The 26,560-nt window shown below is 39.1% G+C and overlaps 1 protein-coding gene across 4 annotated transcripts in view, besides 1 other annotated feature; it reads left to right on the top strand.

The window, feature by feature from the left end:
- SGCD (sarcoglycan delta) overlaps nucleotides 1-26,560 on the top strand; it is a 1,039,957-nt gene that overhangs the window by 358,721 nt on the left and 654,676 nt on the right. The gene's annotated exons all lie outside the window — the stretch shown is intronic.
- Nucleotides 3,565-4,764: an enhancer, noted in NCBI's record as "BRD4-independent group 4 enhancer chr5:155517127-155518326 (GRCh37/hg19 assembly coordinates)". NCBI's record gives its function as "activates an origin of replication core promoter dependent on BRD2, P300/CBP, MED14 and CDK7 cofactors, and independent of BRD4, by STARR-seq in HCT116 cells {active_cell/tissue: HCT116}" and the evidence as "EXISTENCE:reporter gene assay evidence [ECO:0000049][PMID:35650434]".

Below are 26,560 nucleotides of genomic sequence, written 5' to 3' on the forward strand. Positions count from 1 at the left end.
ATTGTCCCATCTGGTGAATGGGCTGGCATCATACCAGGCACAGTCAGGTTGTAAATTAACTGCAGTCTTCAGATAACTGCCTAGTGGGGAAGAATTTCATAGGTGCCTGGATTGTTTCAAGATTTAGTCCCTGGAACTTCTAAGTAAGCATTCAATTAGATAAGGGAAACATGGTGCAAGGGGGTACCTGGTGGAAGGAAAGTAAGCAAAGGTTACCATTTTGCTATTAAGAAGCTAAACATAAAATAAACAAGGAAGGAAAAGAAAAGATATTTAAAAATAGGGTATTTGGTTACAACTCTCTGCTGGCAGCTAATTCCATTCTCTTCCTATGGATAGTGGATATGCATTCTGGCTACTTCCTGCTGAATGGGGTGTAGTTAAAGGACATTGGAATGGAACTGATTTACTTGGAGTTGAAAATATTTTCAAGTACCTGGGCTCATGAAGGAAGCCTGTTGGAGCATTGTAATACAAGGGTTGCAAGCCTCTGGGAAAGTCTATCTTGCATTCCCATGCAGAATATTTAACAGTAGTAGGATCCACAGCAAAGAAGTATGCCTATTCCTGCAATTATCATCAAGGTCACAAGTAACTTTTTCCACCAGGATGGTCCTGACCTGAATCAGAGTGCAAATCATTGATCTAGTGGAAATGTAGGGTCAGACGTGATGTGAATTTGTTTATGCATATTATTTAGGGCTAATGAGATATTTCCCAAGTTGTCTAGAATGTATTATATAACACTTGGTTTTAATGTAGGCAAAGGTGCCCCCTTGAACAGCCATTAGAATATCTAGTGCCAGCTGGGCACGGTGGCTCATACCTGTAATCCCAGCACTTTGGGAGGCTGAGGCGGGTGGATCACCTGAGGTCAGGAGTTCGAGACCAGCCTCGCCAACATGGTGAAATCCCATATCTGCTAAAAATACAAAAAATTAGCTGGGCATGGTGGCATGTGCCTGTAGTTCCAGCTACTCAGGAGGCTGTGGCAGGAGAATCGCTTGAACCTGAGAGGCAGAGGTTGCAGTGAGCCGAGATCGAGCCATTGCACTCCAGCCTGGGTGACAAGAGTGAAACTCCATCTCAAAAAAAAAAAAAAAAAAAAACTAGTTCCTTCTGATTTTGTAAAACAGCTTTATGCATGTGGTACATTTTGCCACTTATCAGAGATGTATACTGTCATTTAGAGCCCCTTGGGTGTAATTAGCAAGGGCTTCCATGTGCCAGATGACATCATCCAGACCCAGGGATGGAGGAACATAGAAGCTAGGTGATTGTACCAGCGAAAAATGTACTTGGTTCATCTTTTAACCATGTGAGGAAGATTAGCGTGTTATTCTGTAGTCTTTGTCCAGTGTCCCTGAGCCCAGGAGAGGCCCACTGTACAGTGTCCTGGCCATCCTGATGATAGCCAGGTTTATACCACAAAACCACTGAATTCCATTAGAAGCATACCAGTTAATGCCAGGTCACTGGGATCAGTCGCTTGCAGCCATCCCCCTTTCCCATAGAACTATGATATGTCAATGCTGTTCTGAGGGAATCCAGCCCATGACTCGAGTATCTGGCCATGGTTTGAGGGGCTATCTGACTTAAGTGTCCTGCTGATTTGTCATCCATATAAAGCTTTCCTAGATTTGAAGAAACCTGTTTTTATAGTGAGAGTTCTGGGGCCTTACTTCTTGGGCCATCATTTTTGTATCTAGTAGAGGAGGGGCCAGTGTGGTTACTGTTTCTTGTGTTACATTTATCGAGAAAGGCTTCCCAAGTCCAGAGTCATTGAGAGTCTTATTTATGGGCCATTGGGCTGTATCTTTTCCAGTTACACCTGACATCTATTCCCCTGTCCACTACTTAAGGTCTTCTGTGAAGACTTGCAAGTGTGGCCAGGCATTTTCCTGTGTAGGTGATACCCAGCAGGGCAGAGAAATAAGGGTTTGTTTGTTTGTTTGTTTGTTTGTTGAGACAAGGTCTTGCATTGTCACCCAGGCTAGAATGCAGTGGTGCAATCATGGCTCACTCCAGCTTCGACCACCTGGACTCAAGTGATCCCCCCACCTCAACCTTCTGAGTATCTGGGACCACAGATGTGCACTGCTATACTCGGCTAATTGTTTATTAATATTATTATTATCATTATTATTTATAAAGACAAAGTCTCACTATGTTGCCCAGCCTGCAAGTGTTTCATTCTATTCATTCTACAGGAAATTAAAAATAGGGCTTTACTTATTTGTGGTTTTTCTTAAGTAGTATTTTAATCTCTTCTTTTGGCTCACATGTCCAAGCAGCCTCCTCTGTGGGGTCAAGCTAGGGTGAAGCCACCTTTATTTCAGAGTGGTGGACCCATGGTTTCGTTCTGGACAGGTTGACTGATGAATGAGAGGTCAGCATCTCATCATGGGATCCAGTCCATTTTTCAGCCAGTTGTTGATTTGGTCCTTGATTTTTCCAGGACTTTAATGGCACCTTGTCCCCTGGATGGAACAGGTAAAGAAGCTCATCTGTGGAGTAGGCAGACCTGGAAAGAGCAAATTGCCACATAGTAATGTCTGTTCTAATTATTGTACATATTATTTAACCCTGGACTCACTGAACAGATTCAAAGGTGGGATCCCTGGCAAAGGGGTCTGGAATGGTCTCCCATATGTAATTTTAAAGAGGCTCAATACAAGCCCACTTCATGGTTCTACTCTGATTTGGAGCAAGGCAACAGGCAAAATCTTATCCCAACTCAGATTGCCTTCCTGGCAGAGTTTGGCCATCATATTCTTTAAGGTGTAGTTCATCTTCTCTGTTTTCCCCATCGATTGCAGTCTCCATGACAAATGCAATTTTTATTAAATCTGTAATGCTTGACTTACCTTCTGGATAACTTCTGAAATAAAGGAAGAGCCGTTGTCATTTTGTATAGTGAATGGGTGTCCAAACCTGGAAATGACTTCCTTCAGTAATGCTTTGGCTACCTCTGTAACTCTCTCAAATTTAGCAAGATATGCCTCGACCCATCCCCAACAGGTGTCCACAAATACCAAAAGAAACCTATAATTCTTACTGGCCTTGGGTATTTGAGTGAGACTTGAGTGAAGTAAACCTGTTTGTCCTCAAAATGGCATAGCCTTTGTATTGCACACCCCTAGTGGGTGGGAGGGTAGTGATTTAAGTTTTGGGATTATTCTTACTGCATAAAACATGTCCTTGCATTATTTTCTGAATAGTCTTCTGGAGGTGTGGTCCCCTGAGGTAAGTCCATATTAGGTTGGCAAGAGTATCTCTCCTATAGTGTGTTCCCTTATGTAGATGTTTTAAAATCGGATAAACCAGGGCCTCAGGGAGCGAAATTATTCCATAGGCATCAGTTTTCCACAGTTAATCTGGGTCTGTTTTACTAAAGCCCCAGACCCTGGGGCACTTTTCATCTTTCTCAGTGGAATGGAGTTTAAAATCTGACAAATCCAAATGAATATGAAGGTCCCTGACATCTCTGCTTCCCAAGTGGACCACTTTGCAGCCATATGAGCTGTTCGATTTGCTTTGGCTTTTTGTGAGTCATCTTTCTGGTGTCCAGGAGGGTGCATGATGGAGGCCTGGGTAGGCACAGAAACTGCTCCTAACAGGGCTAAAATTCCCACTGGGTGTTTAATGTCCTTATTTCCTGATGTTAGGAGCTCTCTCTTTTTCCAGATGGCTCTGTGAGCATACACTACTATCGGGAGAACCAGCCTCCAATATTTCAACATAGGTTGCTTTCTATTTTCCCTAAGTGTCAGCTGGTCTGAGAAATAAAGAGAAAGAGTACAAAGAGAAGAATTTTACAGCTGGGCCTCCAGGGGTGCCATTACATATTGGTAGGACTGTGATGGCGACCTCGAGCTGCAAAACTAGCAAATTTTTATTAGGGATTTTGAAAGGGGAGGGGGTGTTACATGCTTCAAAGGGCAATAAAAGATCACAAGGCAAAGGGCAGAGCAAGATCACAAGGCAAGGGCAAAATTAGAATTACTGATAAAGGTCCATGTCCCACTGGGCACACATTGTCTTGATAAACATCTTAACAGGAAACAGGGTTTGAGAGCAGACAACCGGTCTGACTAGAATTCACCAGGCTGGAATTTCCCAATCCTAGTAAGCCTGAGGGCACTGCAGGAGACCAGGGTGTATTTCATCCCTTATCTCAACCGCATAAGACAGACACTCCCAGAGCTGTCGTTTATAGACCTACCCCTGGGAATGCATTCCTTCCCCAGGGTTATCAATTATTAATATTCCTTGCTGGGAAAAGAATTCAGTGATATTTCTCCTACTCACACGTCTGTTTATAGGCTCCCTGCCAGAAGAAAAATATGGCTGTATTCTTCCCGACCCCGCAGGCAGTCAGACCTTATGGTTATTTTTCCTTGTTCCCTAAAAATTGCTGTTATTCTGTTCTTTTTCAGGGTGCCCTGATTTGTTTGATTGTTCAAACACACGTTTTGCAAACAATTTGTACAGTTAATGCAATCATCACAGGGTCCTGAGGTGACATACATCCTCAGCTTACGAAGATGATGGGATTAAGAGATTAAAGACAGGCACAGGAAATTATAAGAGTATTGATTGGTGAAGTGATAAATGTCCATGAAATCTTCACAATTTATGTTCAGAGATTGCAGTAAACATAGGTGTAAGAAATTATAAAAGTTTTAATTTTGGGAACTAATAAATGTCCATGAAATCTTCACAATTTATGTTCTTCTGCCGTGGCTTCAGCCGGTCCCTCTGTTCAGGGACCCTGCCTTCCCACAACACACTACCATGAAGGCATATTTGCAGTCAGTGTAAATGTTTATTCACTTTCCTTGGGACAGCTCTAGGGCCCTGGTTAGGCCAGGTAGCTCAGCCCTCTGTGCAGCAGTACTGTCAGAGCATGAGTTTCTATTAACCTGTCAGTAGTCACCGCAGCATACCCAGTTCTGTGTTTTCCACCTTCCATGAAAGTACTCCTGTCAAGGTATAGCTTCCAATCTGGAGTATTCATTGGCTGATCTGACAGGTCCAGCCTCCTGGAATAGACTGCACTAAAGATTTCCAAACAGTCATGCTATCACCCAAGGTTGGGTTCCATGGCTGGAAACAGTGTAACAGGGTTTAAAGTGATAGTGGTTTGTAAGTTAATGTTTGCATCATCAAAGAAGATGGTCTGGTATTCGCCCATTCACCCTGCAATGAGCCAGTAGCCTCCTTTTGTTCCAGCAAAGTCAATACCTCATGAGGCATGAACACAGTGACCAATTGTCCCAGGCTAAATTTTTATGCTTCCTGTAGGATTTCACAGGTGGCTGCCACTGCCTAAAGGCAGGGGGCCACCCCTTGGTTGTTCAGTCCAACTGTTTGGAGAAATAGGCTATGAGTTGCAGGGTGTCTCCAAGCATTTGGAGAAGCACATCCAGATCTATGCCTTGTTTCCCATGGACATAGAGCATGCATGGCTTCTGGGGGTCCAGCAATCCCAACACTCAGGCTGTTATCAGTGTTTCTTTGATGACATCAAATGCCTGTTGACATTCATTTGTCCAGGACAGGAGTTCTGAGTATAGTTCCTGTAAATCTTCATAGAATACTTTAGCCATTAACCCAAAACTAGGGATTCAAATCTAGCAGAAGCCAGCTATTTCTGAGTCCTTGCAAATACCTTCTATTCTCTGGAGCTTTGATGGCCAACTTTCTGTCAGTCGTTAGGCTCCTTTTGCCCTGCTTCAACCTGAAGCTGAGAAAGGTTACTTTTTGTTTGAAGATTTGGGCCTTCTGCAGAGACACATTATATCCACATTGGGCCAGGTGATTTAGGACTAGAATCATGTTGGACATTCATTTTTCATAATCAAGGCTTGCTATTGGTAAGTCATCTACATATCATAGCAGAACTCCTTTATCTAGTTGTAAGCTTCTCAAGTTCTTTGCCAATATTTCCTCAAAGATAGTGTGCCAATTTTTGAACCCTTGAGGCAACACCATCAAACAATATTAGAAGGTTGTTTTGGTCTCTAAGGTTCTGTCTACCCAAATGCAATTACTTACCCTTTTGTAGATTTCCAAAGGAAAGGCTTTATCTTCCTTCTTCTCAGGGTGAGTGAGTAGTATTTGTAGCTGTAGTGCTTGTTCCAGCAGGACCTGTAAGTGTAATTGCTGCTTCTCAGGCAGAAAGTTACTTGAGCATTTAATTTATAGCAGGTCATATCCCAGTGGAGGGATTGGGCATTCTGACATATAGAGAAAGCTGTTTCTTTAGTTCCAGGCCTCCCAGTTTTCACTCTAGAGGTTGTGAGAAAGTTTTATTGTTCTTACAACTCCTGTTATAGGTACTGCCATTTGGTGCTTTGTGCTTCTGTTGTGTTAAGAACTGAGTAAGTGGCATCTGTATTGACCAGGAAATTGATTAGCTTGTTCCCCACTGTCAGTTGTACCTGGGGCTCCTGTGGGGAAATTTTAATTGGCTCGGAGAGATTTAAGGGAGCCTCCAGATATCTCTGTTCATCATCAAGGCCACAACCTTGTCCCATTATTTGCCTGTGTCCTCTATCCTGAGTGGATTCAGCTTTTCTCTGGCCCTCTGGGCCCTTTAATTTTGGGCAGCTGTCTTTCCAATGGCCTTCCTTTCTACAATAGGCCCATTGTTTGCTACCCAGAGTCATGTGCTGGTTTCTCAGAGGCTTTCCTGCCCATACCACATATGTAGTGGTGGGCTTTTGATTCTTTTCCTCCCTGCCATTGTATACTTTGGAAGCAACATCCATTAACTGGGAAGAGGCCATTCCCAGTGCAGCACCCTGTTTTTTTAACTTTCTCTTTATATTGAGATCACTCTACCGAATGAAAGTCATGTTCAGTAGTCTTGAATTCTTCAGATCATCTGGATTTTTACCAGTATATCTATGGAAGATTTGGTAAATATGTTCTAAGAATTCAGAGGGATCCTCATTCATCTTTTGGAGGACTGTCTGAACTCTGTTTAAACTCTCGTTTGGGCATTAGTCCTCTAACTCCTACCAGGATGCACATCAGTAACGTTCCAGGTGGGCCATGTCCCCAGTTTGATTGGGATCCCAATTTGGGTTTGTGCGTGGAGCAACTCCAGCAGGATCAGGATTATTATTTGGATTGGTCTCAGAGAGACCCTGAGATTCCTTATTTGCCTTCTCCATTACTAGTCTCCTTTCATCTGCAGTTAGCAGCCAGTTAATAGAGGCTCAAACATCTGCTTAAGTGGGCTGATGGGTGGCAAAAATACATTCAAAGAGGTCTGTCATTTTCTGAGGATCCTCTTTATAAGGTGGGTTGGAACTTTTCTGATTGAATAAAACAGGCATTGGAAATGGGTTGTAAGCCCAATAATGTCTGGCAGGCTGCTTGTTTTCATCTAAGCCACCCACGGATATTTGCCTAAGTGGGAATTGCCCTGCTCTGGTCATGGTATTGCTCTGTGCAAATCAGGTGCCCTACTGGGTCCTGGAGAGGGAGACCATTCCAGTTCCCTCATCATACTCTGGAAGGGCAGCAGCCCCTCCTTCTAGGTCTGGCTCCTTTTATGGTGGGGACAAAGCAGTTGAGACATTGGCCAGGGGGAGAGGCGGTACTGTGGTCATAGGCGGGGCTGCTGCTGCAGCCTTGGGAAGGGTTGCTGGAGCTGCTGCTGTGGCAGGATCTGTAAGGGGGAGGGTGGCCACAGGCTGAGCTGCAGCTGCAGGAACAGTCACTTCCAGAACAGCCAGATTCAGGGCATTTTAAAAGGGTGAGATCTTCCTCATCTTTTTCTTTCTGGATACAACTATCTGGAAGAATTTTCGTTCGGTCTTTCTGCACAGCTAAGAGTTGGTGCCCGCTCCCTTATCCTCCCATCCCAACTGGGATCCCGATTATGCAATAACATGAAAGCCTGGCATTATGGTATTTATTCTCATTTCCCAGTCCTTTGACAAAATAATTTTAGCTGGATTAGGGTCCAATACTGGGTACTTTCTTTCAGAAGCCAAAATTCATTATCATCTTCATGGTATAGAGTCCAGACAGTATTACAGTAACAAATCATCTTTCTCTTAGTCTTGGGCTCATAGCTGTAAGCCCTTCAGTTGCCCAGAATGTACCCCAAGGGGCTTCTGGGGAGGAAGGAGATAGAAATCTTGTTGCTTGGCTGGGCATGGTGACTTACACCTATACTCCCAGCACTTTGGGAGGCCGAGGCGGGCAGATCATGAGGTCAAGAGATCGAGACCATCCTGGCCAACATGGCGAAACCCCATCTCTACTAAAAATACAAAAATTAGCTGGGCGTGGTGGCACATGCCTGTAATCCCAGCTACTCAGGAGGCTGAGGCAGGAGAATCACCTGAACCTGGGAGGTGGAGGTTGCAGTGAGCCAGGTTCACACCACTGCACTCCAGCCTGAGTGAGACTCCATCTCAAAAAAAAAAGAAAGAAAGCAGTCCTTTTGCTTATTCTGACTTGGTTTCTGCACTTGTACTGTCTGACCTTGTTAAAACTGTGATGATTACTGTCCTTATTGCTTGGTGCTCTGCCTTTGTTCCACAAGCCACCTCCTGATACTAGACCCCTAGTTGTTGGATGGATCAGTCTGACTTTGCACAACCTGTGTAAAATAATGTTGTTTGCAATCCCAAGAGGTATGCCTACGCAAATCTCACCACATAGCCTATGCAGTTAGGGATATCAAAAAAGAGGTCCACGTGCAGGGGAGGGGAGATGGAAAATGACATCTGTTAGTACCTCAGTCTTATTCCAAGTCCCGGTCTATCTATTTTGATAGAGATAACTGAAGGGCAACAAGTGAGATAGTGAATCAGGCAGACAAAAAGGGCAAAGAGATTGGAATTGGGGTTAGAGATTTATCCCAGATATTTTTAACCTTCTGCTCACATAGACAACAGTGAGTGTGGTAAGAAGGGTGGGAAGCTTGTTTTGACAACCTGCAGAAGTGTTCACACTCTTCTTTTCCCCACAGAGTCTGGAACGGTTATGAGAGGTACTTTGGGACTTTAGACAGGGTTACCCATTCATAAGCGCGGTGGAAACTGTTCCCCTCCAGGGCTGGATCCCTGGATTTCAGTGAGCAAGATAAGAAAAGGAAGAAAGAAAGAAGAAAGAAAAATAAGGGCCCAAGCATAAATGTTCCCTACTCACACGGTCGCTCCTAAACAAATTGTCACTCAAGTGGCTGGGTAAAGAGTCCCACAGCCTTGTCTCAATTTTTAATAGCTCCACAAGTAGCTGAGTCCTAATGGAACAAAGCTCAGGTGGTGCCACAAATACAAATAGTGTACAAGCCCAAACGATGTCACAAGCAGCTAATTCTAAGTAAAGCAGAGCTCAAGTGACATCCCAAAAGAGAAAAAGGAAAGCTGGGTGCAGTCCAGCTGACATTCTGAGTTCTGAAGCCCATTGACTTCCTCAGATTCCACTTTCCTTGTACCAGTGAAACATAGAAGGCAGCCAGTGCCATGGCAGGAAGAGAAGGGACATTGCCCAAGACAAGACAAGAATATCTCAGCAGCTTCAAGGAAGTTCCCCAGAGCCCCAGCTATGAGGTCAGCTAGCCACCAGCAGCTCAGGGGAGACCCTTTGCCCTGTCCAGTAACATGGATGGACAAGCCCTGGTGTCCTTCCATGGCCAACCACCAGGCTTAAACCACTAGGATGCACAGATCTCCCATATGGGCCACCAAACATTGTAGCCAAATGCAGGTTCAGCTGCCTGCTACTTACAATGACAAATAACAGGGATGAAATGTGGTGGAAGGAAAGTGACTTATTCCAGAGCTAGCAGTGGGGAAATGGCTGAGACTCCATGACTTAAGCCATTTCAAATTTTGGACAGAATTCAAGGACTTAAGAATGGGAGCTTGGTATGATGGGTATGCAGGAAGGGTGAGGAGATGCCCTTCTAGATGACTTGTTCCAATAACTTATATTGAGTCATTGCCCCATCTGGTGAATGGGCTGACACAATCCTTGGCCCAATCAGGTTGTAAATCAACTGCAGCCGTCAGGTAATCTCCTAGTTGGGGAGAATTCTATAGGTCCCTGGACTGTTTCAAGATTCAGTCCCTGGATTTTCTAAGCAAGCATAAAATCAAATAAGGGAAACATTGTGCCTGGTGGAAGGAAAGAAACCAGACTAGCCTTTATTTCTTAAGAAGCTAAACATAAAATAAGCAAGATAGGAAAAGAGAAAAAAATTAAAAATGGGTGCTTGGTTATACTTCCTCAAATTCCAAGATTCTTTTATTCTTTCCTTTTTGTTTGGAGAACTTCTTTTAGTAAATCTTTAAGGGGAGCTCTGCAGACAACACACTGTCTTAGTTTTCCTTCATCTGAGAATATTTTTATTTCCCTTTCCTTCCTCAAGGATATTTTTACCTGATATAGAATTCATAGTTGATAGATTTTTTTTTTCTTTCAGTGCTTGAAAAATGTGCTACTTTCTTTTGGCCTTCATGGTTTCAGATGAGAAATCTGTTATTTAAATTGGCTTTTCCCTGTATGGAATGCATCATTTCTCTCTGGCTGCTTTTAAGATTTTTTTTTTCGTTGTCTTTAGTTTTTCATGTTTAATTATTATATGTTTTGTTCTGGTTTTCTCTAGGTTTACCCTGTTTGGTATTCGCTGAACTTCATAGATCTGTAGTTTGTATCTTTCACCAAATTTGCAAAGTTTTTAGCTAATATATTTTTAAATACTCTCAGCATCTCTCTATTTCCCCTCTCCTTCTAGGAGTTCAACGATACAAAATTGAATCTTTTATTAGCACCCTTTTGTTATTGGTCTCTGGGGCACTGTTTATTTTATTTTATTTTTATTTTCCGGTCTATTCTTTCTGTGTTGTTAAGATTGGGTGAATTCTATTATTCAGTCCTCAAGTTCAGAGATTCTGTCCTTCATCTTCTCTGTTCAGCTATTGAGTCCATTTATAAAGTCTTTCATTTTTGTTATAGTATTTTTTTGTTCTATAATTTCCATTTGATTCTGCTTTATAGTGTTTCTTTGCTGAGATTTCCTGTTTTTTCATTTGTATTGAGAGAGTGTGTAATTAGTTGTTGAGACATTTCTTCAACACTTACTTTCATATCTTGTCAGATGATTAACATTCAATTCGTCTTGGTATTAGCATCAGTTGATTATCTTTTCTTATTCAAGTTGTGATTGCCTTGGTTCTTGGTATGATGAGTAATTTTGCATTGTATTCTGGACATTTTATCTGTTCTGTCAGGATACTCTGGGTCCTGTTTAAATCTTCTTTTTCAGTAGTCAGTCACCCTGTTGACTTTCAGCACGTAAGTATTGGTCAAATTTTGTGGGCTTTGTTTCCAATGGCAGAAGCTTTGTGGTGTTATTTTGGCATGCTTGGTTTATTAGGTGCCATCGGAATTCTCACTTGCCCCAGCTTATACTGCCTGCAAGGGCAGGAGTTTCCCCAGGTCAGGCTGCCAGATATTTCTCTGAGTTGGGAGGGAATTGTGGTATTCTCTTACAGGCACCCCCTACTCCATTGTTTCTAGGCAAAGAAGAAGTATTTTGAGTCCACAGGAATAAAGCAGCTTCTCAATGTGGGCCTTTTCCAGTTATTGTTTCCCTTTATTTTGTTCTGACCACCCATCACAGAGTCAGTATTTCTGAAAAATTCTTTCATAGTATTTTTATTGTTTCTTATTTGAAATGGCTATTTCTGTCCAAATGTCTTTCTTCAGTAAAATAGTTCTATATATTGTGAGGTGTTGGTTGACTCAAGCAGATTATATATGCACCCAAATTCTAGAATTTTCTGAGAAATTTCTCAAAAGTTACTTGAATAAACAAGAGTTGATGCCTATTTGCTTAGAAGCACATACAATTCTGTGGATTCTCTGCAATGCTGGTGCTTTGTCTAGAAAAATAGATTATTTGTTCTATCTCTCTTTCATAATACAATTATAGTTTATATAGAGTATTACACATGCTTTTAAATAGCATTTTATTTTGGAATTAAATGAGAGCCTATGGTTGTGTGTATGTGTATATATATATATATATATTTATTTATGTTGCATGTGTATACACACACACACACACACACACACATTCTCTTTCACAATCTCCTCTTATAAAGTTTGTACTTCAAAAGAGGCAAAACCATGTTGGATTACATAGTATTTTTTCACCTATGCTCAACTTGTTTTAACAATGAAATGTGGCTTAATAATTTAATAATTTGGGGCAAATAGGTTTTCTGGTTCAGGCTGCTTACTGTAGCTGAGTCTCTCTTGCCAGCTCTGCCCACCCACCTTGGTATCTCTTGGCAGGAAAGAGATGCCTCAAGTTCATGCCTCTCCTACAAGCTTATGTCTGGCTGGCTTCCCAAATGATCCTCTTGCTGGTTGTGTTGGGTTTGCCAGATGTTGTCATAAGACTCCCATTGAATTCCAAGGAAGGGATGTGACCACCTGGGCTGCCTTCCCTCCTCATGCCCCCAAGTTTGGGGTTGTTGGTAAACACCAGATCTGCATAGCCTTCTTCTTTTTGATAAAAGAGAGACAATACATCTGGTTGCTATGCTGTTCCTCCCAACCTGGGATCCTAAGTCAGCTAGCCCCGTCTTTTTATCACCTATGACAGTTCTTTTTGGTTGTCTCTTGAAACATTTCTGGAGTTAATGGTTGTGCTTGGCATGGAGAAATGATCTATGCCATCTTATCCTGACCATAAATGTGTGCTGTACTCTTTGACTGCTTATTTGTTTATGTGTCAGATTCCTCTACCCAAATGCATTTCCCCATATCTCATAAACAGATGCTTACTATTATAACTCATCTTGCCATTTAATTCCTTTTTTTGTTGTTGTTTTGTTCTGAGACAGGGTCTCACTTTGTCACCCAGAGTGGAATGCAGTGGCGCCATCTTGGCTCACAGCAACCTCTGCCTCCCAGGCTCAGGTGACTCTCCTGCCTCAGCCTCCCAAGTGGCTGGGATTACAAGCATGTGCCACTACTGCTGGCTAATTTTTGTATTTTTAGTAGAGACGGGGTTTCACCTTATTGGTCAGACTGGTCTTGAACTCCTGACCTCAAATGATCCACCTGCCCTGGCCTCCCAAATTGCTGGGATTACAGGCATGAGCCACTGTGCTCGGCCTATTTAATCCTTTACTAGCACCTAATATGGTCTAGACTCATAGTAGATTCTCAGTAAAAACTTACAAGTAATAAATATATTATTATAAATAATAAATAATAAATGTGTGTTTAAGCCACTAAGTTTGTAGTAATTTGTCATGCAGAAACAGATAGCTAATATACCCAGCTGTTTTTATGTTAATATATGCAGTGAAAACATTGTCAAAATTTTTTTCTTTGTACTTTTCAATTGGTACAGGAATATTGCTTTTGTCCCACTTACAAATGCATATATTCATATATATGTCATAGGCTATATGTGTATTTTACTCTTCCACTTGTGTCTAATTTTCATTAGACCCCTATTGAGGCAGAACAGTCTTCAAATGATATAGTGACATACTACTGCAAAGTAACGACAAAAATATGAGGCTGGTGGTGGTAATCTAAAACAATTGTTTGTTCAGAGTTGTTCATGTGAGTGCTGTTATGTTAAATGGTGGTATGTGTTAGCTCCATGAATTTGGAGCCAAAAAACATTCATTCTGTTTAATACCCTCAAGAAGCTGACAAAAACTAGGATTGGCTTAAAACAAGCAAACAAAAAAAAAAACCATCTAAAGGCATATGGTGTTTTATACTTTATCAGAGTAGTATCTCCTGGGAATCCTGGGAATGTCCAAAACTTTAATTGGACATGAGATGAGGAATATGTTGAACTCATCAGTAGATGTCTCTAGTGCATTGCATGTATGTGTATGCATGTGTTTTGTGTTTTCATTTTTTAGCATATGGTGGGTGGCACTAGACATCTTTATTTCTTATAGGAGCTCTTCCTTTCGTTATAAGAAATCCAGAAATGATTATCATTGCAATGTCAAATTACTCAGCATCACTTTTCCCTATTGCAGTAGTGTTTTTCTTTATTCATGCATGTTAGATCAGAATTCCAGGTTTTAAAATAGACAAATTAGCAATTGGTAAATCATTTTTTGACAAATACTAATTGGGCAACCTGTAATGGGTGAAGGAAGATATAAAGATGAACTCTATTGATTTGTAATACATGCATTTTTAAATTTTATTTGAATACCTTTGATATTTCAAAGTGGTGTATACACTAGCAGTTAAGGCAAAGACTAGCATGATCTACCTACCGTACCTTGATTTTGGATGCTGCTGAGAACCAAATGCTTGTGTGCCCTCCCCACATTTACATGTTTATTTGTCAAAGCCTAAATCCCCCTAATATGATGGTATTTGGAGGTGGGGACTCTGGGATGTTATTAGGCCTGGAGAGTGGAGCCCTCATGAATGGGATTTGTGCACCTATAAGAAGAGACATGAGAAAGATGATCTCTGTCTCTGCTACCTAAGGATACAGTGAGAAGCCAGAATGAGGGCAATTGCCAAAACTCAATTATACTAGCACCCTGATCTTGGTCTTCCAGACTTCAGAACCATGAGATATAAAATTCTGTTGTTTACATCACCCAATCTATGGTATTCTGTAGTTTGACTGTGACAGAGGAAAAGCACTGAACACTAACTGCCTTCCTGAAAATAAAGTGCAAGAGCAGACAGTGGGCTGGCCTGGCGAAGCTTCATCTCCAGCTAATCAATTTAAGGCACACAGATTGAAACCTATTTGGGTACATGCAGTGAAATGTCATATTTCTTGTAGGTTCCTTACCTCACTGGTATGTCCTGAGTCAACTAGGAAACTAAGAAGCTAAGGAAAGCTGTGAGTCTGGTGCAGAGAATATTGTTTAACATTGAAGTGACACCCAGAATCTAGAAATATACCTTTGCCTTAACAAGAGAAGTTCTCCCCTAATGAATCGTTATTGCCCCTTTGATTTACTCATAGATGTCTATATCTTTTGTATTTGAAAATGAAAGCTTTGGAAGGCTACTATTGTGCCATTTCTGTAAATGTACTTTTATTGCTTAAATTACACAGCATTTTTCACCAGTTCTTTATTGCTTTCTTTGGTATATTTACTATAAGACACTGTAGCTTCTGGCTGTAACTCAAACTGCATGGAAGTTCTATATTTTCAGAGACTTTTTCAGTCAGATAGAAAATGTAATGGATAATAAAAGATCCAACGAAAATCTTAGAGTGGAATCATAAATTCTTTGATTAAATTCCAATATCAATAACTATAAACGTATAGGAGAATCTATTCACTGGTGTCTCCAGCTGTGTGTGTGTGTGTGTGTGTGTGTGTGTGTGTGTGTGTGAGAGAGAGAGAGAGAGAGAGAGAGAGAAGCTGTGAGTTGGTGGTAGTACTTGTTATAAAAGCAATGAGAGTTTATGGACTCATAGCATTTTTACTTCCCTTCATTACACTTGCAGGTCCATTATTACTAGGACTTTGAGTAGCCCTAGCCCATGTTTGATACATATTTGTGGAACAAATGTTACAGAAATAAGAATGTTTCTGATTGATTTTTTTTTTATTTTTGTGGCCAGAATTATAAAAAATATCATTGAGGTGTATTTCCAAAGAGTTGCCTTGGTAACCTAAAATGAAAGAAAATTAGAGGGTTGCTAATGTATCAAAACATTTAAAACATCATCTGTTTTATACCAGCTTCCATTGACTAAACTGTTATAACTCCATCCAGTGATGAATTTGCCCTCCAGATGCAAATAAAGATTTCTTGATTGTTCTCTCATGTGGGAGAATGTGCAATATGTAGAAAGGACATTGTTTAGTTGATTACCTAGAATTTTTCAATATTTCTGAAAAAAATCTTTCATCATTTTTTATTGTTCCTTATTCGAAATGTCTGTCGTCCAAATGTCTTTCTTCAGTAAAATAGTTCTGTATGTTGTGAGATGTTGGTTGACTCAAGCAGCTGATGTATGCATCCAAATTCTAGCAGTTTCTGAGAAATGTCTCCAAAGTCACTTGCATAAACCAGTGTTGATGACTATTTGCTGAGAAGCACATACAAGTCTGTGGCTTCTCTGCCAGGCTGGTGCTTTGTCTGGTAAAATAAACCATTTGTTCTATCTCTCTTTCATAAAGCAATTATAGTTTATATAGGGTATTACATGCTTCTAAGTAGCATTTTATTTTGAAATTCAATGAAAACCTATGATTGGGTGTGTGCGTATATACTTATATTGTGTGTGTACACACATACATACACACTATATAAATATACACATAACACACACATATAAATTGACATACATATTTTTTCTTTTATCTCCTCATAAAAATTTATCCTTCAAAAGAGGCAAAATCGTGTTGGATTACACAGTATTTAGATTTTAACAAGTAAAATGTGGTTTAATAATTTACCCCAAAGCCATATCTTCCGCTTTTATTATAATTTGCTATAAGGTTTTTATGCAATTCTTAACAGTAATCAGTATACAAGATTCATTAATTGGATTGATCTTCCAGTAAATTTTAGCTACTGCTAGTTGAATCTCAACATTTTACTAGTATTTCAAATCCAGATTCCCATGATATCAGAATAATTAGAAGAGTTGGATGAAGAGTAATGTCTAAGCCCCACTACTACTCCAGACTTCATAAATGAAAATGAAAGATTGGCCCATGGGGTGCCATGCCCAGTCCTGATGCTGACTAATGCTATTCTACTGTGGATGATGGTGATGAATTACTTTGACATTACAAGACATTACAAAGAATTATGTCATATGAGGTTTCCGGGTCTGAAAATCCTCTTAGTACTTAAATGCTGGATGCATTGATTCATGTCTTTATTTCTTCTCAGTTTAACACATAATAAAAAATTAAATGTTTCCATTTTAATGGTATAAGGGATATAAAAATGTACATGATCTTTTTTCTTTTTGAAAATGGCCTGTGTCTTCCCACAGACCAATAGACCGATATCCCTTAAACATTGAATTTAAAAGAATCAAAGTGTAATTTGGACCTAATTTGTTGGTTTCAGCCCCCAGCACCCAGCCAAACTCCATCATAATGAATCATATATGAAGTGTTCCAAGGCAGTCTAAGATAATTTATGATGATATATTAGATTTAGAACTACTGTAGAAAATCTCTAAAATCATCAGCTCACATTTGCAAATGTTGCCATGAGTCACCTGGAAATTGGAATATTGTTTTACTTCCCAATAGACTTGCAGACATTCAAGTATAATTTAAATCTCTCTTAAAAATGCAGAATTTTGCTTTTCATTACATATTAATATGGCCCTAATTGCTCTATAACCATTGGCAATTTAGCTGTATTATTTAAAGTGTGCATGCAGAAGTATATGCTTAATATTTTGTTTTTTCCTATGTATAAAAACTTGCTTAAAATATTAATGAATATAATGACCCAAGCCCTTTTGGAAACATTATTATTTTAGAATATTTTACTTAGTATTAATTAATAACTTTGGGCTAGTTGTCCCTGTTAAAGTCACATACTAATTAAATTTCTCTCTGGACCACATACTGGTTAAACTTACTACATATTAAAGAATTTGTAAGACTCTTAGGTTACATGAGAATATAGCTAAATTGTAATCTTCATATAAACTCAGGGTTAATTCCATGGGAATTCTTTAGGTGTAAGACAGTCTTACTCTAATTGTGCTAATTTGCATTTGCATAATATTTGATAATTTTCATAACTGTTTATCTTACTCCATATTTGATCTTCACGATATGCCCAAGAGTATAGTAATATGAGCATTTTAATCTTTAATTTCTAAGCCCCCTTGTTGAGTTACAGTCTAAGAGGGACCTGCCTGATATTGAATCTCACTTTAAAGATAAGGTGCAAGTTTATTTGCTGGATTTGTTTTCCCTTCTCTTATTCTGGATTTAGGTCATTGGGGTACATACTAATCTGTGATTTCTGTGCTTTTTATTATGCTCTATTGTTTTTGTTATGCCAATATCCAAATGGGGCTGTGAATAAAATTTTCATTACAAATCTGATGTTGACGTTAAAGCAGGTCTTCTTAGGGAATCATAATGTGTCAGCAGTTCAATCTGCTGGGAGTAACAAGTACTAAAACAGTATAGCAAAATTGATAAAATCTTAGTTCTTTCTGGGCAAGTCCTAAATTTGATTGTTTTGCAGCTTGCCTTGGCAAATTTTTCAAATCTTCTTAAACCTTGGTTCCTTCATCTTTAAAAAGGAGATAATGCCAGTTAGTATTTTTTTCAGTTCTGGGATTAAATGAGATCTTACATGGAAAGCAGGATACAGAGAAAGCATTGAATAAATGTTAGTTGAACAATGAGAACACGTGGACACAGGAAGGGGAACATCACACACTGGGGCCTGTTGTGGGGTTGGGGGAGGGAGAGGGATAGCATTAGGAGATATACCTAATGTAAATGACGAGTTAATGGGTGCAGCATACCAACATGGCAAATGTATACATATGTAACAAACCTGCACGTTGTGCACATGTACCCTAGAACTTAAAGTATAATAAAAAATAAAATAAAACAAATGTTAGTTGCCTCTCTTCCTTTCTTCTTTAAAATGTGTTTTAAACAAAGAAGGAAGAAAGAACCTATGTGGAGTATTATGTAAATAAAGAAAGTACTTCACACATATTTTCATTTAATCCACCAAAAAGACCACACACACACAAGTAACCTGCTGATAATATGTGTGCCCTCCTGTATAAATCAGTGAACAAATTGTTTTTAATTTTTTGGCAGACTTATGAAGCCAATTAGCTTTGTAATATATACCCAAATTTAATGGGCAAGTAAATAATTAATGTTATTGCCTTTGTAAATTTAACTTTTCAATTATAAATTTACATAATTAAAAGAGTAATGTTTCAGTATGCATTCTAGCCAAATTTAAATCAAGCAATTAAATTGTAGGTTTTCCTCACCAAATGAGCTCAGCTCATTATTACACAGATGACAAATGTAAATTTGTTTTTTCATGGTCAGCTTCATTACAAAAACATGAAGGAAAATACTTGCAGGACGTGTAATCAAGTAAATTATTCCAAGCACCATTTATATATTTTAAATTGTTTTTCTGGTTTCTCCGTCTTAAATTTAGGACAGTGTGAAGACACTGCCATGTTTTCCTCCCTTCTGAGGAATGTTCTCTCCTTTAAGGGATCACTTAGGACTGTGAAAAGAAAGCAGGAGAGGCTGGTTGCGGTGGATCATTCCTGTAATCCCAGCACTTTGGGAGGCCAAGGCGGGTGGATAACGAGATCAGGAGTTCAAGACCTGCCTGGCGAAGATGGTGAAACCCCGTCTCTACTAAAAATACAAAAATTAGCTGGGTGTGGTGACAAGCGCCTGTAATCCCAGCTACTTGGGAGGCTGAGGCAGAGAATTGCTTGAACCTGGGAGGTGGAGGTTGCAGTGAGTGGAGATCATGCCACTGCACTCCAGCCTGGGTGACAGAGTGAGACTCTGCCTCAAAAAAAAAAAAAAAAAAAAAAAAAAAAAAGAAAGCAGGAGAATAATACTGTGTTGGTAATTATGCGCAGTGATCCAAATCTGAAGATGATCTGCTTATGTGTAGGGACAGGACCTCAAAACCAGAATTGAAATCATTTAAATGGAAAGTTTAGCAAATTTGCAGATTTGAAAAGAAGAATTTGAAGAGCTAGCTGTGTGGAAACTGTGATAGCTATGTAAAAGTAGTGAAGGAAAAACAGGACTACAGGGCGAATGCTTTGCTGTGGCATTCATGTGAATGCAGAAAGGTATAAAGCAGGAGCTTGTTTCTCCCTGAGATGTGAAGCAGGTGTGTTTTGTTCTTCCTTTTAAATTAGCTTTGTGAAATACTATCAAGCTGATTTTAATCTAGAACAATCTATTTAGTGACTACATTGTTCCAACTTGAATGAGTAGAAAATGGGGTCTGCTATGTGAAGATAATTAAACTGCAGATGTTTTAATCTTCAAGAAATACTGATATGTAATTAACCATGCACTGACTAATGATCTATACTTAACTGTTCACAACTTTGAGGCACACTAATAAAAGTAGGATTTCAGAGCTTGTTAGAATAGGCATATGTATCACGTAAGTCTCTTTAGAAGACAGATACTTATGTTTCTCTTTCTTGCCCACTAATATCTGTGTATACAGAGTTAATCCCCTTTCAGTGATGTTGAGTATATGAAATGGCAACACTTTGACATTTATCTTTAATTTGTTGAGTCTCTAGTGATGCATTATTTTAGTGTATCCAATATCATAAGGGTGACTTAAATTCTTTACCCTGGAAAGAATTGTTAACCATGTTTTAGAAAATGTGTATCCTATTGCTTATGTTCTTTTTTCATCACAGAACATATCTCTTCCCCTTGACATTTGATCTCTGTGTTACAGAGTCCTTGTCTACAGGCTGAGGTCTAATTAAGTTCTTTTCTGAATGTGATATACAGTCACTCTATTTTTCTGCCTAGCATTATTTTTCTGCTTTTCACAGTAACTGCCCCTTACTGCTGCTGTCTGCTACCAATTCTTAAAAGCAAATAAAGCCGGCAATTATGACTAATTTCTAATCCTCATTTTAGGAAACAGGCAGTAGCTACCTCATGAGCCCATCAATTTACCTTGGAATAAGTCTGTAGGTTAAGTGGTTTTAAATCCATTTTGGATCAGAAGTTGTGGGCCCTCTGTCTAGGAAAATGTGAAAAACAACTTTACATAAATTGCAGAAGGTTCACGGAACCCCTAGCAGCTCATCCATGGTTTCAGGTTAAAGTCTCTGTATAGTTAGCTACTAAGACTAGCAGATCTTTCTTCATTTATAATTCTGTTCCAATTCAATAATTCTGTATAAAAATATGCATATTGTTCTCTTCTAAATTAGATTTTTACTAATGGTTCATATTTAGTCATATTAACTTAAATGTGTATTATTTCCACTTTCCAAAATGCTAGTCATTTTTCAAAGTTAAATCAAACATCTCTTCCATGAAGCTCTCTGTTTTCCCACAAATCCCCCCTCCTAGGCAACTGAAAGTAGTTGATCTTTGTTTTTTTGTCATTCCCGCTCTTACCTTCTATTCCTCCTTATAGATATATCTTTTGTGCAAGTTAATATTTTCTGCCGTTTATAGATTTATGTCTACTAATGTTTTTCAACTTACTCTCCATGGAAACAGCAATTCTCTTTTTCCACACATTTTATTGATTTACATAGTGTTTATAATAAATAATGTAGAAACATGTGCTTTTACAAACAAGAATAGTGAAGTAAACAAGTTTGGGAATGAACACAGTTGCCTCTTGGTAGATGTACATCTAAACAGAAATATGTGAAATACAGGAGAGTAATCTGGTAGTTTCCAATGCTTATCATAATATGGGCACCATTTGGAACATTTTATAAAAGGAATGAAGTACATTGTCTAATTTGACGAGTTGGTATATTGTTGGCCATTTAAGAGTTTCTGTTGCAGTAAAGAAAACTAATCCTTTCCAGTCCTTGGCACTACCAATTTTTATGCCAGAAAACCAGAGTAAACCAGGATGCACACCTTCTAGTAAACATTAATGTTTAATTTTTAAAATGTTAATTAAAAAAATTTAAATTACACGACTTTACTCTTTGCATTTCGTAACATTACCTAATGGCAGTAAAGTATCTTAGCAAGCAGTTATGTATAGGATTTAACAGTTTTTGCTGTAGAATCAGTGGCTAGGAACTTTTGTCTCTTAATCACTGTAAAATTTGGGCAAGCTATTCAATGTATGAGCCTGAATTTTCTCAGCTGTAAAATGGAGATAATAGTTAAAACCAAGTAGAGATTGTTATAAGATTGGATGCCTGATACATATAGCATTAAATAAGTATAATCTGTTATACATATTAATAATGAAATTTACTGGGTATTTATCAAATATATGGAATATATCTTTATGACACATTCATAATTTCATTTCTTTGAAACAGCCATATAAAACTCCTAATTGTATTTACTTTAAGAATAGTTAAAGCATTGATATTATTTCTATCAAGTCTTACTGGCTTTCCTAATCAAATGTACTGTTTTTTATTTCATACATTTGGTGGAGTTGTAGGTCTACAATGATCAGTAGAAACTCATGGATAAGAGGGTTGATCAAGTTGAGTATTTAGCCTTGTTGTGAGTGAGTTAAGCCAGCACCAATGCAGTGGGCTAAGAAATTAGACAACAGTCTATTATTTCAGGTTTGTGTTACACTTCCTAATACATAAAGAGTCCATAGAGTAAGGGAGAGTTTAAAAAATGGAACCTTTGTATTATTTATTTGTCTCCAATAATAACAGCAACAAACAGTGAGTATAGGCCGTGCTTGCTAGTAACCCACCTCTCAAGAAAGATAAGCCCTATTTTAGAGCATTTGTCAATGTTCATGGTGTGAGTATTCCCAATATGGCTCCTTTCAAGTTACTAATGACTTAACAAGCAGCTCATGAAATTCCTGAAAATTTGACAGGTGGCTCCTGCTAGCTGGCTTTAACACAAAACTGATAGGTCCTTTGATCTCATCATTCAGAGTTACCCTGTAGTTGCTTACCTTCTTGTGAAGTAACATTTCTCTTCTACTGGAAACATTCTTTTTTCCTCCTTCACTTCTCATCTTGTTGACTTCATCTTCTCCCTTTCAGGTTCTATGCTAATTTCAGTGACTCAGTTTTGTTTGGTTCTTTTCTGATTTCTGTTTGGTAGAGATGGTGCAGTGGGTAAGTGGAGTGGGATGGGAAGGAGAAGAAAGCCATTTGAGCTAGAAGTCTTTATTTTCCCTCAACCCTAAAGACAGCTTTATATGTTTAAACTCCTTAATGTAGCCTGGATGGCTCTGTGTGACTCATCCCAATGTATTTTTCCATTCTGATTGTTTAGAGTGCTCTGTCCTCAAAATATGCAACTCATCCATCCATATAGGAATTTATAAATTTCCTTGAAAGTACAGTGTTCTCTCTTCCAAGCTTTCTTACCCGTAGTTTCTTCTGCCTGAAATGGTCTTAATCTCTCTTCCCCTCTTATGCTTTCATCTAACCAAACCCCCTTCAGCCTCCATCTCATGCCCCTCTCTCTGATGTCTCAGATGTGTGTTATCCACTCATTTGTGATCCCACAATGTCTTGTACTTACTTTCCTAATCCATTTACTGCCCTATGTCTGACTCATTTGTCAGCACTGTGACAAATGTTTCAAAGGAACTCCATAGGTATTTGCCAAATTAGGTACCAGGGCTTGTTAGGACAACTATGGGTTACGAATCAGGAGACCCTGAATCATTTGACATATGTCAGAAGACCTCTAGGACTTAGTTTTATTTATTTACACAATATTCTGAGTTTCTATCCTGCATTATGAGCAGCAGATAACTCACCTCTGCTTTGGGGGTCAGTGACAAAGTATAATATTTAAGGTATCCCTTTGCATCTGACTTCTTTTAAGGTGTGAGAAGCAGCACAGTGCTGTGGTTACAAGTGTGGACTCCAGAGCCAAGCCTCCTTGACTCAAATCTCAGCCCTGCTGCCTTGGATAAGTTGATTGTTTCTCCCATGTGTGAGGTGGAGATTATAGGAGAACCTACCTCACAAGTTGTTAGGAGAAAGAAATGGGTCAATACATATGAATAGGAGTTAGGTTTTATTATTACTGTTGCTAATATTACCTTTAATTTTGTTTTGCTGACCTCTATGAGGCTTTATTATATTTCTTCCCTTGGAATTATAGTCATTAGATTTCTACTTTAACTTATTTGTATTGGGTTCGGAGTCCATAGCATCCCAAATATTCTTCCAAAATTAGAAACCTATTTTTCACTCACCTATAATTTTCTTTCCTTTCTCTCCTCCTGACACACTTTCTGTAATTCTTTCTGAGGGTTCTCGGGGACTGTATAGTGTTGGACTTGTTATTAGCATAAGCAAAATGAATTTCAGAAAGCATGAAGCAATTTTTTATTCCCTATTTCCTCTCAGAAATGAGCTTTTTCATGTACACTGGCAACTTAAAAAAAAAAACTCTCTTTCCCATATCCAAGATAACTTTTCAAATTAATATAATGATTTGTTCCATTCTAAGGAGTAATTATCAGTAATGTTTTATTTTTAGAGTAATATCCAGTGATTTTCAGAAACTGGAAGTTGTCATAAAATCATTGAAAGATAAGTAATGTTCTTCTAGCTACTTCCGGCAGGTGTCTCAGCTGATTTGACCCTGCTTGAAAAGTGAGTTTAGTATCCAGACTGCCAACTTATATAAATTGTGAGGGTAAATGTGTTGTGAAGTGTCTGAGATCTGGGGTGAGGAGAGAAGAATGAGAGAGACAATATTTGAACACGAAAAAAATATGTTTAGCAAATTGGATCTATTTACACTATTACATTAAAGAAGGAAATTAAACAAGCTCTAAAACATCCATGGGCAGATGGACACAACCTCCTTATGAATGAGAAAAAAGAAGAGAGGAGGTGCTCAGAGAAAGTCGCAAATTACCCTCAAATCTGTTTTCATACTTCTTTTGGAGAGCTTGTGGGTCAAAGTGCGTATCTTCTATTTCCAGTATTCTCAAGGCACTAAGACGAGACAGAGAGTGACACTTCACAGTAAAAGAAATGATGCCAAGTGTGGCTGGTGCACACTGAGTAGGTGAGAGGGTGTGGTACAAGATGCCACTGGTGATGTAGCTAGGGGCCAGGTCTCAGATGACCTCCTAAGCAATGTTGAGAATTTGGGATTTCATTCTAAGGGCAGTGGGAAGCCTTTGGGAAGTTTGGACAGAGAAGTGGAAATCATTTATTTTTAAGAAGCTCTTTTCATCTATAAGGTAGACAATGGATTGGAATCAGCCAGAGATGCATTGAGTAGAGACCAGTTGAAAGGCTATTATAATAATGCAGACAAGGGGATGTCTGCTTTTAGTGGCTCAGTCTAGGAAGAAGAGAGACCACAGGAGATCCAGCACTCTTCTCCATATGAGAGGCCCTGATGTGTAGCTAGTCATGTGAAAGAACTGAGAAAGAAAAGCAGTCACAATTAATCCTTTACCATGTATGTGCACATGGATTGTGGAGGTTAACAGTGTGATGTCACCTTAGTTTCATTTGTTAAAAGCAGTGATAGAGGTGTATTTTTTTTTTTTTTCTTGAGATAGAGTCTTGCTCTGTCACCCAGGCTGGAGTGCAGTGGCGTGATCTCGGCTCACTGCAACCTCCGCCTCCTAGGTTTAAGTGATTCTCCTGCCTCAGCCTCCTGAGTAGCCAAGACTACAGGCACGTGCTGCCATGCCCAGCTAGTTTTTGTATTTTTAGTTAGAGACAGGGTTTCACCATGTTAGCCAGGCTGGTCTCGAACTCCTGACCTCAAGTGATCCATCCACCTCAGCCTCTCAAAGTGCTGGGATTACAAGAGGTGGATTTTTGTAAGCCTTCTTATGTGAATGAGTTCAAAGATTTGCCCATTTGTTTTCCTTTTTATAAACCATTTTCTCCTCTTAGAAATTTCTCAACTTGGAACTTTCAGTAAGTGAGATGTAAAATTAAGATAGACATTTTTGGATTTTTACCAAATGGCTCGTGTAAGTTCATGAGCATCACTTGGCACCAGATGGCTAAGAACAATTATCAAGCATTTCTTTAGACTTTAATGTTTTCAGAGAACTTTATGATAAGTGACTAATTTAGCTTCACATTTGCCTGGTAAGAAGGGTGAGGGAAAAATAATAGCCAGCCACCTAAGTCACATTTATGTAATTCATAGGACTCTGTGGATTCTTAAGACATATTAAATAGTAAATTAGTGTGTGCTGAGGATGGGAAGCATAAGGTTTTGGGAAGGCTCAGGATTAGCAAACCTGTGGTGGTAACAAGGTTGAAATAAATTCCGATTACTTCACACCTAGGTTTTAAGGGATTGTTATGGTTTGGTTTTTTTTGAGAATTGAGAACCAGGGAGCTAGACCCATCATATGTAGTCTGTCTCCATTAAACAATCATATATAGAGGTAATATTATGCCCCTTCTACAGTTTAGGAAACTGAGGCCAGGTAAATAGGTGAATTGTTTGTTTGCACGGCCATTTAAGTTTGTAGAGCAAGAGTTCTAAGGTTTGGGTGATTCATCATCCATGCCTTGATATGAGATGACAGCTTTCCCCTCCATACTGAGGTGATGAGGCTGTTCCATTTCCTAGCCAGGCACTCTGGCCTGCTGTGTGTATGTGTTTTTATAAAATTTCTATAATCTACCTCTTGATGGGGTTAAATATGCTTCAAAATCTAATTTAATCTTTCTGGTTTCTAATGTGATTTCAATGAAGGCTTATTTCCAATGCAATGGTTTTGCAATTATAGTGGAATCTCAGCTTATGTGCATTTAATTTATGTAAATTCAACTTTACGTGCATAGCAAATAAAAGAAAACTGTTTAAATCATGTAGAAGATCTTGTCCCCTCTTCTATGCGG

Source organism: Homo sapiens, chromosome 5, assembly GCF_000001405.40.
Source record: "Homo sapiens chromosome 5, GRCh38.p14 Primary Assembly".
Classification (NCBI taxonomy): domain Eukaryota; kingdom Metazoa; phylum Chordata; class Mammalia; order Primates; family Hominidae; genus Homo; species Homo sapiens.